Source organism: Homo sapiens, chromosome 19 (genome assembly GCF_000001405.40).
Source record: "Homo sapiens chromosome 19, GRCh38.p14 Primary Assembly".
In the NCBI taxonomy this organism is placed as follows: Eukaryota; Metazoa; Chordata; class Mammalia; order Primates; family Hominidae; genus Homo; species Homo sapiens.
Genome location: NC_000019.10, coordinates 30,647,267 through 30,662,992, shown reverse-complemented (window position 1 = coordinate 30,662,992; position 15,726 = coordinate 30,647,267). Strand labels below are relative to the sequence as shown.

Sequence of the window (15,726 nt, the reverse complement as noted above, 5' to 3'; positions counted from 1 at the left end):
TTTCTTAAAAAAAAAAAAAAAAAAAAAAAAGAAACGAAAAAGAAAAAGAAAGAAAGAGAGAAAGAGAAAAAATTTTCCCTTTTTTCTTTAAGGAGGACTTATTATTTCCATCATCCTCGTTGAGTTGTTGATGAATAGTTCACATCCCCTGCCAAGCCCCACCCTTGTCTATTTTCTAAGCTCTTTCCTCATTATTTGCTCAGCCTTTTCCCACAGCCCCGACCGGCCGTCAGGGCAGCTTAAACACAACACAGCATTAACATGGGGAAATGGCTTTCAGTTTCCAATTGATCTCCTAATACGTTATGTTGAAATGATAATTGGTACACTCTTCATTGAAAAATAAGAGAGAAAAACTACTACTCAGTCACCACCAGGTATTATCGTAGTTCATGTATTCAGAACAACCAGATACATTAAAAAAAAAATCAAAAAACAAAAAACTATCCCCCCCCATCTGCGGGAGAGACTGCAGTCCACAATTCTTTTCAACTGACATAATCCAGATTGATTCGTTCAGCAGATAAAATTCAGGCCACTTCTGCCCTTTATGGGAGCAACATAATACCAGTCTTTATTCAGTAACAATGTAACATAATGAGATCGGAATGTGCAAAATGACTGTTCTTAAATTACTGTGCCTCACAAGGGCCCAACACAAGCTGGGACTTAATGTAAAAAATCATTAGGCACAGATTACTAAAGTGCTCCTGCATTAAGGAGGTCAAACCGAGTCTGTTTACGGCATTTTTCAGGACAGAAAGTCTTTGCTAATATCTTGATTATGACCGTCTTCTGGGGGGCCCATCCCAGCACCCACAGCTCAGCATTGTCTCCATCCGGGAGCCGGGAGGCAGAATTAAGAGAGGACAGGGCAGGAGATGGCATCGGAGGGACTCCACAATCACGTGCTATTTTTGGGAAAGTTGGGTGCATCAAATAATTTAAGCTTTGAGCTATTAAGTTATGTTAATTTCAAGGTCGTCAGGGGATGGTTATTCAAACACATAGAATATTTGGAAAATAACGAAAAGCACAAAGAACAAAGAATGATCTCCCACCATCTCCATATCTAGAAAAAAACCACTGGCCATTCTGAATGTAAATTCACTCCAAATATTTTTTCCAGCCATAACTATCTAATGTTTTTATACAATGTATGCTTCAAATACAGCCTTTCACTAAATGTTATAGGTAAGGTCAATATTTCTCCCTGTCATTAATTATTCCTCTGCAATATAATTTTATAGCTACATGGTGTTTCTTCATGTGGAAGTGCCTAATTTAGCTTCACCCCTATTCTTGGGCTTGTCAGTTGTTTTCTAAGTTTCCCCTCATTATAAAGGATGTGTTGATTAATATCCTTATGCGAAAGTCTTTCCCCGACATGTCAGATAATTTTCTTTGGAAAAACTTCCAATAAGTAGAATTGCTGGGTGAGAGGGAACACACATTTTATACCTATTTGATACTTATTTTTTATTTGGCCCCCCCAAAAGCTTGCACCTATTTATATTAATAACACAGTGTTCACAGGACTACATATTTCTAGGGATGTGTTACAAATCCATTATACCAGCCTTTTCCTTTGCAGGACACCACAAAGAGTTCTTGAACATTGCATTGCATCTGCTGACTTATATCACACAAGGATATCATGACCACTATTCAATTCTGCACACTCACCCAAAAATCTGTCATCAGAAGAAAGATTAAATTAAGAGAGTCAGTCAATGTAGTCTCTTACACACCCAAGGTTGCCTAAGAAGAGTCTAGAGAAGTAAACCAGAGCAAAGCAGAGCAGAAAAGATTTCCTTTGAATTGAAATGATTTTTTTTCAACTTGCAACTCCAAGCCTCATGCAATTTAATTTTTGAATTTGAGAGCATTGCTGGTCTCTTATCTTGTTTAAATAGAAGACTTCCAAAATTCCGATCACGGAATCATCGGGTGGCCTCTGAGATGATGCAGTTACTCTTCGGAACACTGGGCTCACGTCTGGAGTGGGGCCTGTATTTGGTCAATGTTTGCACAAAACGAAACAGGCGCCATGTGTAAATGCAGAAGGCTGCTGCGGAGCATGTATGAGGCAGAGATTTTGTGTATGTATATGTACACACATGCACATAAATATATTTATCTATAAAATGAACATCACCATTGTGACCTCCTCACTGAAACTCACACCATCTGAAATAGTTGCATGTGATTACTAGCCGCTACTGTCAATCATGACGGCACAAATCCAATACTCAGGCCATATGGCCTTGAAACTTGCAATCGATAGGAACCTTTTAAAGCTGAAGCTTCAAAAAGTTGTATCAAATATATATTCAATGAGAAGAAGGTTAATTGAATAATTGATTACTCAGTAACAATTAAGTGCTCTTCAGATATCTTTGGGAAATCATGAAATATAACGGTGATAGATATTTATTAGTTTATCAGTTCTTACTGTGTTATATATTTATTTTGGGGCCTGAAGTCAATTTCTTTCATTTATATATTTTAACAGCAGAGTCCCCGGAAATGAAATGATACATATATTTTTATTTCCACGCTGCCAAAGAGATGACAGGGTGGAGAGGGATCCATGTAGAACCAGGGGTGTCAACAGCATTTCCCAACATCAGAGATGGCTTCTTTGTGACAGCTCTTAGGTGAAATAGTCAAACAACGTCTCTCGGAAAGGTGTGTGCTCTGACACTCAGTCGTTTTTGTAAAGAGAGCCTGGGTGCTGAAACTGCACACTGCCATGGCTGTTGAAGGATTACCATCATGTGGGTTTTCCTTCCTTCTGCCTGGTTTATCTTCAAAAATAACCAGATCTGCAGGTCTCCAGAGACAAGAAAACAACAATTGTTTCTCCACGAATAGGCAAAGTGACCAGCCTGTCACTATCATTTGTGAACAAATCCCTTAGACAAGTTATCTGTGGCTTTTTCAAAGGAGGTATAGATGGGGCTTTATGAAATCATTGATATCTATTGAAGAGGATAAACACATACAAACACACACACACACACACACACACACACACCCTTGTGTCAAACAGGGTAGGAGCAAAGACTGAACATAATCAGACTCTGCAGAAAGGTGAGTCCAAGTGCTCACTCTATAGGCCATACTTTGCACACATGATATGGTTGGATCTGTGTCCCCACCCAAATCTCATGTCAAATAGTGACATGGTTTGGCTGTGTCCCCACCCAAATTTCACCTCAAATTGTAATAATCTGGTGGAGCCAGGTGGAGATAATTGTATCATGGGGGCTGTTTCCCCCATACTGTTCTCTTTATAGTGAGTGAGTTCTCACAAGATCTGATGGTTTTATAAGCTTCTGGCATTTCCCCTGCTGGCACTTCTACTCTTGCCTGCTGCCATGCAGACGTGCTTTCCACCTTCCACCATGTTTGTGAGGCCTCCCCAGCCATGTGGAACTGTGAGTCCTTTAAACCTCTTTTTCTTTATAAATTACCCAGTCTTGGGTATGTCTTTATCTGTAGCTTGAAAACAGACTAATACAAATTGTAATCCCCAGTGATGGAGGTGGGACCTGGTGGGAGTGATTGGATCATGGGGGTGGTTTCTAGTGGTTTAACACCATCTTCCTTGGTCTTGTCATGACAAGAGTGAGTGCTCACGAGATCTGGTTGTTTAAATGTGTGTGGCACCTCCCACCTCCCTCCTTTCCTCCTGCCCTGGCCATGTAAGAAGCATGTGCCTGCTTCCCCTTCACCTTCCACCATGACTAAGTTTCTTGAGGCCTCCCCAGCCATGCTTCCTGTACAGTCTGCAGAACTGTGAGCCAAATAAACCTCTTTTCTTTATAAATTACCCAGTCTCAGGTATTCCTTTATAGCAGTGCAAGAATGGACTAATACACTGCATCACCACCAGCTTTGCCAAAGAGTTCAAGAATCTCTGAGAAATCCCCACCCAAACGGTAAAATCAGATTTCCTGACAGCAAAACTTCAACATCCCTAATGGACCCACCTGAGAGCTGACAAACTGCCCAGATACAAGAAACCTATTTTAAACAGGAGTAAAAATGAATGTTTACTTATGTACCTAACAACTAGGCCAAATGTTAGCAAGTTTATGTCTCTGTATATTTTCTTATGTACGCATTCAAGAAATATGTGCTGAACCTCTTCTCTTCTCTGGGCTGGTCACTGTAGTCCGTGAAGGGGACTAAGCTGTGAACAAGACAGATATGGTTTCTGACTGGTTAGAGTTTTCAATTCGGTGGGAGAGTCAGACCAGAAAAAAAAAGAGGAAGAAGTCAAACACACATAATTTTTAATAACTGCTAAGAAGTTAAAATGGGACCCACAGAGGGAATAACAGAGGAATAGCCATTTTTGAGTGGAAGGTAAGAAATCATCAAAGAATGAGAAAAAGTTGGCCAGGCAAAGCCAGGTGTATGCGTGTGTGTGTGTGTGTGTGTGACAGAGAGAGGTTGTCATTCATTCCAGGCATTGAGAACAGTATATTCAAAGACCCTGAGGTGTCAGCAAAGAGCTGGGATACCGATTTAAAGATCGGAGAGAAGATCTGTGGGTTGGAGCAGAGCTTGAGAGATGAGCTTGAAGGTTGGGCAATGACCTGATCACTCTGGGCATTGTGGCTGAGGGGAGCTTGGGTTTTAATCAAGCGGGAACAGAAAGGCCAGGCACGGTTGCTCACACCTGTAATCCCAGCACTTTGGGAGGCCAAAGTGGGCAGATCACTTGAAGTCAGAACTTCAAGACTAGTCTGGCCAATATGATGAATCCCTGTCTCTACTAAAAATACAAAAATTAGCCAGGCATGGTGATGCACACTTGTAGTCCCAGCTGCTCAGAAGGTGAGGCAGGAGAATCGCTTGAACCTGGGAGGCAGAGGTTGCAGTGAGCCGAGATTGCGCCACTGCACTCCAGCCTGGGTGATACAGCGAGACACGATCTGAAGGAAAAAAAAGGGGGGGGGGAATGGAAAGCCATTGAAGGGTATTAAACAAGAGGATATATGGTCTGATTTACATTTCCAGAAGTTCCTTCTAGCTGAAGCGTGTAAAAACGTTTGGGTAAGGTCTGTTAGATCAGTTTGGCATAATCCAGGTAAGAGATGACACCCATTCCTCAGGGTGCAGATGGAAGGGAAGAAGGATTCTGGATTGATTTCTTTTTGAGATGGAATTAACAGGTCTTTCTGGTGGACTGGAGAGAGAGGAGAAATCAAGGATAACTGCAAGTTTTGAGGTTTGAGGTTGTTAGATGTCAAAGTGGAGAAGTCAAAGAGAACATCAGAGAAGAAATTCTGGAGAAGATAAGAGAGTTGCAAGTGCCTGTTTGAATCATCAGCAGAAGAGAGGCATGAAATCTGCAAGGAAGGATGAGTCCTTCCAGGAAGAGAGTGCAGGGGGAAGAGAAAGAGAAGCGGGGCTGAGCCCCAAGGAGGGCCAGAAGAGCAAAGAAGGGAGAGAGGGTCAGTAGGAAAGATCAAGACGTTGTCGGAGCAGTGGCAGGAATACCGAGAGAGTCTGGTCTCCTAGCTGCCACAGGAGAGGTGGCTTTAGCACAGGGTCTGCTGGCGGCCGCCTCTTGGACATTGCTGCTTTCTCAGTGATCTCCCTGAAGCCTCGTTGCCTGTGGACTCTCCAAGTCTGTAGAGTGATTAACTATTTGAGGTAGATTCTATTTTCATAGTCATTACACAGAGAATACTAAAGCTGAGGCAGTTTTGGTGACTTACAGGACATCACGTTCCAGCTTAAACCCACATAGCACCCTCTCCAGAGCTCTCCCCCAGTCTGTTAGATGCATCTGACTTTCTAAGGTGCTCCTGGATTGGAGGGTCCAGCTGGCTACATGTGGTCAAGACATACCACTGGGAAAACGCAGGGACATAGTTTGAGTGTATTCTTTCTACACTTTTCACACCAGCAATGCCAGCATCTCTGTGGTTTCGGATGAAATATTTACCCTGCTGATTCTTTCTAGTGTCCCTGCAAAAGGGCCGGCCATGAGTGCCTGTGAATTAACTCCGGGAGGAGGCTTTGTGAAGGAGATAACTAAAGGAAAGAAAGGCCTTCAAAGCAGGTTCTCAATTTCCAATCAGGCCATGCTCCCAGCCCTCGCATCTCCCCTGCGATTTCCATGGTTCAGACTGACCCCGTGCAGAGCAGAAACATCAGAATGAGGCCCTCCAAGTCCAGGGGCACCTAATGACACTGGCTTGGTGGCCTTGCCTGTCCCGCAGTGTCAGGAGTGAACCAGGCTTTCTGTTGTGCCTCATAAAATGATGACAGGCATTGCTGCCCAGGGACACAGCCAAAGTAGACAGTGAGGTGTCACAGACCAGAGAGCAGATGTATGATTGCGTCCCTGCCGAGAAGGGAATGACATCCTTTGACTCTCTGGAGAGTGTGCTGCAGAGGAACTAACCTCACTGCTCCGGTTGTACACACAACAACATTGACAGCCAACAGTTCCATGAGCATCGTTGCACAGGGCACAGGGAGACAGAGTGACAGCGCGTTTCCAGCAGGGTAGAGATGGTGCAACGTGCTCCAGCCAAGGGGATAACCAAAAGCATGGCAGAGTTTTCATATTGTTTTAATGTGATTTCACAATCCTAAGTTAATTTATTTTCTTATGATGGAAAATGGTCCGGCACTGCCATATTCCAGTATGTGCTCCAAAAAGCAGTCTGATAAAATTCATTAGAAAAGAATTAAATTCATCATATAAAGCACAGCTGTTATATTCTAAGTAGTTCCCAATTCAGAAGACCAGGCAATTGTTCCTTTGAGTAACACCAAGGACAGCACTGGAGAGGAACCAAGGAGAAGGTCTCCAGGACTCTAGAACTCCATCTTGCTGCAGAAGCAAAAACTTGCCTCATTTTTGAGCCCTCTCAAATACATGCAGATGTCAATGAAAGTGGGTTTGTTGGTTTTTTTTTTTATGAAACACGGTCTTGCTCTGTTGCCAAGGCTGGAGTGCAATGGTGCAATCCCAGCTCACTGCAGCCTCAAACTCCTGGGCTCAAGTGATCCTCCAACTGCAGCCTCCCAGGTAGCTGGGACTACAGGTGTGCACCATTACGCACAGCTAATTTTTACATTTTCTGTAGAGACAGGGTCCCATTATGTTGCCCAGGCTAGTCTCGAACTCCTAGGCTCAAGTGATCCTCCCACCTCAGCCTCCCAAAGCACTGGGATTACAGGTGTAAGCCACCAAGCCAACATGAACAGGGAATTTTAACCGGCCAGAGGAAAAGACACTAAAGAGCAAAAGGAGATCATTGCTAGATTCCTCCCTTGGATAAATCTGTAAAATCCTAGGTTTTAGCCAAACCCTCCCCATCTTTGCAGGCCCAGCTCAATTCTGCCCTATTCCCCAACCTCATTCCCTTCCCACCCATGTCTTGGGTAGCAATGCAGCTTGCATGGTTTAGCTCCATTTCTCTGAGTTGACGGCAAACTCCTTTGAAGTGAGGGCTGAGTTCACCCTCAGTTTCTTCCAGCCCTTCCCCATTCAATGACTTCCAGCTCCCTATACCAATCAGCATGCTGGGTTCTCAGTATGGCATTCCCCTTGCATGTGGCCACAATTGGGTACCACGTACCATTTTCTCTGAATGTAATATGTAATAGATTCTTTTATTCACATTCAAAAACAGAAATGAGCAAAGCTCTCTGAGAAGATGATGAAGAGAGCAGGAAGCTCTTGCAGTCACCCGGCTACCCCTATGCAGTCTGTCATTGCAATACTCTACAAGACCCATTAAGTGCTGATTTTACTCTGTCTTGTAAATGGGAGAACATGTAGAAATTTTAACTCATGTGAGATTTATTTAACCAGCAGCCAAATGCTGAGAGCTGTCAATCTGAGTGTCCTGTGAGTCCTCCTAACTCCCTAGATGTACCCAGTACTAAAGTCCCTAAGAACAGAGTGCTTCGTTGTAGGAGCACAGCCAGGTGCCTCAGGCCACTCCTCACTTGTTCACTGTGCAGGTGACAGCTTGAGAAATTTGGCAGCAGAAGATCCTGCCTTTAACCAGCATTCAGAAATAAAAATTTCTGAAAAGTTAGCCCTGAATGCTGCTTGGGGATAAAGAAAGTCAACGCTGTAAGCACGGTGGCTTTGCCCAGCATGGGGGGGTGTGTGGGGGGTGGGTGGCAGACACAGCTGAAGTGTAGAGCTCAGCAGAGCCTGGCTCAAGCCCAGCCCTCAAATTTACCTAAGCCACCAGCCTTCCAGGGCACTGGGTTCCTGGTCTTCATGGAGAAAAAAAACAAGCCTCAGTCAGTGCCCCAGTAGCACTGAGACCCATTACAGCAACAATCGCCCGGTTAAAAGAACTAAAGACCTAGATAGCCACCGCCCAGGGAAGCAGAAAGGTCTTTTTGGTTTCACCTTTATTTCATCACTCAACCAGGTGCAGTCATGGAGAAATCTTTGAATACAAGCATTCCACAGTTCTTTCGCTTTAGGAACCACGAATGTTGACTTAGGCTGTGTTTTGCCACATCTGACTCCAATGCAACCCACCAGTTTCCAGGAGAGACTGGGGATGGGGTGAATAAGGGGGGTGGTGAGGGGTGAATAAGGGGGGTGGTGAGGAGTGAAGAGGGCCAAGTGGGAAGATGATCAGATGATTTCATGCACTAATGAACATTCCAGATTTTGTGATGATCCCCAATACTGCCCACCTAGGAACTGGGTGATTACTATGCCGGGCGGTCACACCTGTTGGATGTACCTAGGTGAAGGTCAGGCTCCCTCCCCACTGGGCCCCACGCAGCCTGGGCACCAGCCCTTGGCTCACACCTGCTGCCAGGTAGCAGCCAGGGAGACTTCTTATGCAGCCCGCTTGTTTCAAAGGAGCGTCGGCGACAGGGAGGGGAGGATCTCAAGACCTTTAATTAGCTGGGAATTGCACCCTCTCTAGTGGCTTGCTTGTGAGAACTAGAGAGCTAAGGAACAGCTCCTCAAAGAGGAAGATGGCACTTGCCAGAAGGCAGAGCTAAAGCACGCAGGTGAGTCCTGGGTTCTGATGGGGCAAGAGTTCTCCATTCCAGCAAACTCCAGACAAGAGCCAGCAGCAGGGGGGCACGCAGCCTCCACCATTGCACATGCCCTGTGTGTGCCAGGGAAGTGACCCTCTTTTCCTGGGGTCTAACTTCCCTGTCTGCAAACTCTTGTGTTATGAGCAAGGCAGGCTGGGCGGGACCCCTTGGCGGAGAAGGGAAGAGCCACACCTCCCTAAGGAAGTGACTCCCACCTCTCTTCCATCACCTGCTCCTAAGGGAGCGGCTCCCACCTCTCTTCCGTCCCCTGCTCCTAAGGGAGTGGCTCCCACCTCTCTTCCATCCTCTGCTCCTAAGGGAGCGGATCCCACCTCTCTTCTATCTCTTGTCCCAGACATTCTAGTTTTTCAAGAGAACCTGAAAGCCTGGATTTGTAAATTTAAAAAATCTTTCATTTTTAAACTGTGTGCAACCAATTGAAAGCAAAAGTGTAATATCGGACAAGTCAAACAAAACCCAACTGTGAGCTGGCTCCAGCCATCAGGCCACTCTTCAAGTTTCATTGCACTCATAGGCCTCTCAGAGGGCCCCACCTAACCTTCCATGCCCTGTGTCTGCTTGTCTCCCCGAAAGCAGATGTGCAGTGAGAAGACAGATGCTACACCCAGATCTAATGTGTGGTCTCTGGATCAGCAGCACAGCCATGACCCTGGAGCTGAAGGGCAGGATAGAGGGTCCTCCCCAGAACTACTGAGTCAGAATCTGCATCATAGCAAGATCCATGGGGATCTGGTTGCACATGAGACTTTGAGAAACACTTGTCTAAAAACAAGTAAGATAAAAGAGTCAAGCATGGTGAAACCCTCTCTCCTCTCCAGGACTTGGAAATGCCCAGATAACGGCACCTTCCCTCATGTTTAATCTTTTCCACCCAACCTTACTAGGCTAGAAATAGCCGCCATTCGGTCCTGGGAGGATCCTGGATTCTGACGGGGCATCGAGAGTGGATGCAGCACTGTCACTGGGTTCCCCGCCTTGGTGTTACAGCTTCCACTGCCCACACGGGGAGTAAGAAGTGGGTTTCCAGAATAATCCCTCTCTGGCTTCCATCGCTGCAGGAGACTTTACAGCCACCAGGGATGACCCCAAGCCCACGCCCCAGGTGAAGGTCAAGCAACCGGAACAATGCCACTCAGCTCAGATCACTAGGACAGGAAGCCCAGGAAAATTCCCTTCGGAGATCAGCCTTCTACGAAACTAGAAGTTGCATGCTACTGACTCCAGACCCAGGAGAGGCAGACACAGCACACACAGTAAAGGGGGAAAAGTTTCCTGGTGAGTCCTACAGAATGACGGGGCTCATTCACTCCTTAGAAAAGCACCTCTCTGCATCCATGGGGGCCTCAGGATGACGGTGGAAATGCCTGCTGCCATCTCAGCTTTACTTGCGTGACTCTCCCCAGATCCCCAGGCCTCGTCAGCAGAGACACATCTATCGATAATTACAGAATACACAGCTTTGGGGGGCATTTCCCTTCCATTCACGACATTTAGTGGTGTCAGTCTGAGCATAAATACAATTAGATTTGAGAGTTCTATTACAAAAGCCAATAAAGCGGGCCTCAGTAGAGATTCTAAAATTACTTAACTTTTCTTTAGAAAAATATTAAAACAGTATTATCACATCAATGAGAAGAAAAGACAGCAAGATAATAAAGTTATGTTAAACCTCCCTGTATTTACTCATGTGTGAAACAGTTATGTCTGGTCACATAATTGCAATGGTTCTGAGAAATATTTCATATTTTATAATGAACATTAAAAGAGTTTGTGGATCATTACTTTATATGAGTTCCAAAGTTATTACATAAAACCCAATAGGAATGGTTATAAATTATCAGATCCTCTGGCCTGGCCTTGGTAAACATAACATGAAGACTGAGACATTTCAGCAGACAAGATTCATGAGAAGAGGTAAAAATTCTTCCTGCATTTTAAGGAGAAAAGAAGACCAGAGTACTTGTAACCAGCTCTTAGCATTTTTGTTTCTGTTTCAAAGAAATTCTATTGAACCACTTGCTTAAGCCACACACACACAAAGCTTCTGTTAGAACAAAAGAGTAGTTCCTTTAGACACTGCCCTCATCGCCTCATTTTTCATTATCCTATCTGTGGCCTTAAGGTCACTGCCAAATTCTTGAATTTTTCAACACAGTGTGGGTTTAAAATGCTGTACTTAGCAGGCTCATACGATACCCAACAATTCTTTATTTTCAAAAGGAGATCCTCTCTTTGAAATCTGAAAATATGGCATCTTTACAGAAATTGGAGAGTTGATAACATTCTGAGGAAGTTTTCTTTTGGGGTCTGCAGAATAGGTTTGCAGACAGAATTTTAATTACAAACTATCATTTGTGAACCACGGTTAAGCATGAAATGGATGCTATTCAATTTCCTCGTGCTTATTCTCTTTTTTAAAAATAAATCACAGCATTATATTTTGTTCTGAAAAATCACACCTGGAGCTTCCCTTCCTCCCTCCCCCTTGCTTTCTGCACGGTGAAAGAGTTAAGTATGGGAAGAATAGCAGCTGGGTAAACAAAGTTAAGGACCAGAGAAGTAACGTCAAATCTTCTTGTCAGCATCCAAGAGGCACAGTGCCCAACTGGGGCGCTTTCTGATGAAACACACAGGCAACATTTGCTACCTGGTTCTAGGAAATACAGGCACCTCCCTCGCCTTTGTCCAAAGCAGCCCCGCTTCCGGTACCTGTGGAGTGAAGGTGGGCGCCCGCCCTCCAGGACCCCACCTAACCCCTCTGAGGCTCCCCTACCTGCCAACTCCCAACCTTATCCCGGGTTCTCCCCTTTATGTGGCGCAGCTGTTGGTGAGGCTTTCTCAGCAAACAGATGTCTTTTGGAGAATTTAAAGCTCTGAGTTGGAGGCCAGATTCTGACTGTACTTTGAATTATGTCTGCCTCGATCATTATGCAGTCATTCACATATATTTTAGACATCAATATTGTCTTGAAATATTCTCGAGTTCTCAATGCTATTTATATGCTTCCATTCTCTCCTTTGCTTCTGCTCTGACAGTATGCTCCAACGTCCCAGCGTCACTGACGACTTGCAGATCATTTTAACACATATTTTCATTGGTGAGGGCTTTGCCATTTCATTTAACATGATTTCTCGCTAAATTGAGCAGAGATTGACATTCTTGGGACAACAACCAACCTTGGTCATCTGTTTGGATGGAGGATTTACCCAGTTCAGTATTTTTTAAGATGAAACAGTGTCATGTGTTGCCTCTTTCTACGGACAGCAAGTTTTTACCAATGACAAAAGAAAGATTCTAAGGATGCCAATTTACAATGTGGGAGGAAAAAAAATCTCTCCTTGCTTATTTACAGAAATGCTCATCGGCTAACATATGAGATTCTGATATAATGTAAGCCCATAGGTAAAAGAAAAAGCAAACTCAAACTGTGAAAACAAAGCAAAACAAAACAAAAACAGATATTTTCAGGACTTAAAGAGTAACAAGAAAAGGAGAGAAATCTTTGGGGCTCTTTCAGCACATTTAGTTCTAGGCCAAGTTTAGGAAAACCGTCATGGCCCCTCAGAGCTTCATATGGTCACCAAGAGAGCCAATCTGATTCAATGACTACTCTTACTTTCAAACGGGGTCAGGGCTCTCACCACCACCACTCATCTATTGATCATTTTGTCCTTGTTTGCAGATCATCCCTTTGAAGTATTTTCGCAATGGCCTCTAGGTGCCGCTAACACTGCATAGCTTCAGCCTTTCTGCACAATGAAAACATTAATTTGCTATGAGATAATTTTTGACGTAAATGTAAAATGGTGCCCATTCGAACTCAGTAATGAAGCATGGTGCATTTCTGCAGCTCCTAATTTGACTAGTTAAATGACTCCATTACGTGTCTAACAGACAGAAGCAAATAATTTCTGGTCAGTTGATGTTCACTTACCCGTATCATTTTGCCCTGAAAATAAAGTCTCTAATCTACAATTCCTTTGTCTTAGTTTTTTTTTTTAGTTAAGATTATCAAAGCAAATATACTTAAATATTTCAGATTAAACCAGTATAAACTAACAATTAAAACGTCAGACAGGATAGGCAAATCAAATATGTGTAATTGGAGAGGTGGAAAACCAGTCAGCCCCCTTCTAAATTAATTACTCCAACTTTGCCCCTGTCACTAGGTCCTAGGGGTTAGGATGACTCTCGGGCTTCAAAAGAACAAGTGTGTATCTTTCAAGTCTATTGTTTTCCTGTGACCCCAAAGGGGCTACTGGCTGTTCCTGTGTCTTTTTCACTTTGCCACATAACTTTGAGGATGTTTGGAAAATCAGTAGCAGGATGCATCTCACAATAGCAAAAAAAAAAAAAAAAAAGGAAAATGCTGCTTTAATAAATATCAAGTGATGAATAATTTTGCCCAAAGGGGAAAAAATGGTTAATATTGAATCTTAATGTTCCTCATCTAAATGCTTTTTTCTTCCTGCTAAAAACAAGTTTAGAATTAAAGCGTATCAGTTTACACATATTGCATGCATATTAGTGAGACACAGCTGTGTATGTCCCCCTGTTAAGAGCCATATGATTAAGTTATGGGATATCATATAATCCAAACGCTGTTTCTACTGGTCACCTTTCACAGACAAAAGCTTTTTAGTTTTAGGTCTATTAAATGACAGAATGTCCGATTCTGGAAATGTGCAAGCAATTATTATGAAGCACCTGTGACTCTCACTTTTTGCTCACCAAGTCCATCTATAAATTGCTTCTGGAACATTGCTCAGAGGCTGACAGAGGACTGTCCTCCCTGTCTGGGGCAGCTGTCGGGCATACAGTGAGGTGGCTCAAGACCCAGGGTTGATCCTGGTTAACTATGGAATCAGGACCCCAGCCGTCCTACCCCATCGCCCTGAAGTGAAGAGACTATAGACTCTTTCAGTGAAGAAACAGTGGTCGGAGAAACAGTGAAGAAGAACCCCCTAAAGTTCAGAGGGAACCCTGGGCCCACCCGTTTATCATCAGCACTTCCGGATGATATTTCGAACTAGGTCTGCACCAGAAAATCAGTTTTCAAAAACATGTGAACTAAAAGAACCAGTTTAAATGATCTTTATTTTTCCCCAAAGTAACATGCTATTTGACCCAATTAAAAACACTTTTTAAAAACTGACTGGAGTGTGTCTATTGACTACCTTTATTGAGCTTTTAAAATTTCAAATCCTTGTTTGTGGGCAAATTTCACGCACTTCTATGTTAGGGATGAGGGACGGGGAACAGCACAGGCTGCTTGCCTTTTGATGTGAAACAATGTGAAAAGGACTATTTATGACTCATACTCTGTGGAAACGTTGGCTGATGCTGTTTCTGCCACTTGATCCGGGGAAGTTGCTGTCCTGCAGAAGGCCAGTAGCTGGTGCTGGAGGGGTGGGGGCTCACACCTCTGCTGCCCCTGCCCAGGGGTCCTGAGATAGCCATCGGGGCCAGGCTCCTTGGTGTGATGTAGGTCGAGCGCCTGTGGGTTTGCAGAAAGGATTTGGCCTTTTGATTTGGTGTAGAATTTACAACCTGAGAGTGATGTCTCAGCACGCAGATCTGGGTTGTACTGGAAAAGGAAATGAGGTCAAGCTGAGAGGAACAGTGCTATCTGAGGAGGCTTCCACGCGGCCGCAGGTTGGGGACTCGGAACCGCTTCTTGTGGGCCCAGCCCCTTGACAGGGCACCTGCAGCTAAGAGCATCTGAAAGCCCGTGGGTGTGCACCTTCTGCATGGAGCAGCCCTTTTTAGTCTGTGTTCTGGGAACACAGGCAGAAAAGGAAGGAAATTCCATCTGAGGATGAGCCCACAGTACAGCCTGAAGGGGAGCGAGCCATAGGAGAACCGATGCATCCCTCAGGTGTGAGGAAAATTGGAGGCACTGAGCAGAAGAAAAGTGAAGGCAAGCTTCCTGGCTGAAGCTGACTTCATATGAGAGATTTCCAAAGCGACACGTGGGAAACTTCACAACTCCCTAAAACCCGGAGATGGGGCCAGGTCCCTCTTGTACCGGTTGTCAGGGAAGCCTCAAGACTTCATGCTGCTTGCTGTAGGACAGCTGGGGGCATCCAAAACAGTTTCGCTAGCAAAGGGTCAGCACTCCCTGCCCCAGATTAAAAGTTGGTGATGCTATCAACCCTTTGGAAAGGAAATACCACTTCCAAATTGGGGTCTTAGCAAGGAGGTGCTGGAACTGGGTTTATAATGCTCTTTTAAAAAACACAAGGAGGCATACATAGAACATAGTTGATTGGAAGGAGGGATGACAACTTCTAGAGAAAATGAAAAATAAATTATTTGCTTTCATGTCCATAAAGGGAAGACGAAAGCAGATGCCAGCAACAGACAAGCATTTCCCAGGGAGAGGAAAATATTTCTGAAGGAAATCAGCCTAGTAGCAGAACAGGTGAGAAAGAAATTAGAGTGTCTAAGGACTGATAACTCCGGGAGCAGATGGGAACCATCTTAGAATTTGTGCAAGAAGAGGCAAGGAAACAGGGGAACGGTTAGCAAATACCTTTTAAAAACACCCAGGGAAACGGGAGAAGCACCAGTGGCCAAGAGCCCTTATGCAACACCTATATTTAATAACGACTCAAAGGGAGATCAAAGAAATTAAACACCAG

The 15,726-nt window shown here is 44.3% G+C and overlaps 1 protein-coding gene across 31 annotated transcripts in view; it reads right to left on the bottom strand.

Moving 5' to 3' along the window:
• Positions 1–15,726, bottom strand: part of ZNF536 (zinc finger protein 536) — a 487,995-nt gene that overhangs the window by 50,594 nt on the left and 421,675 nt on the right. The gene's annotated exons all lie outside the window — the stretch shown is intronic.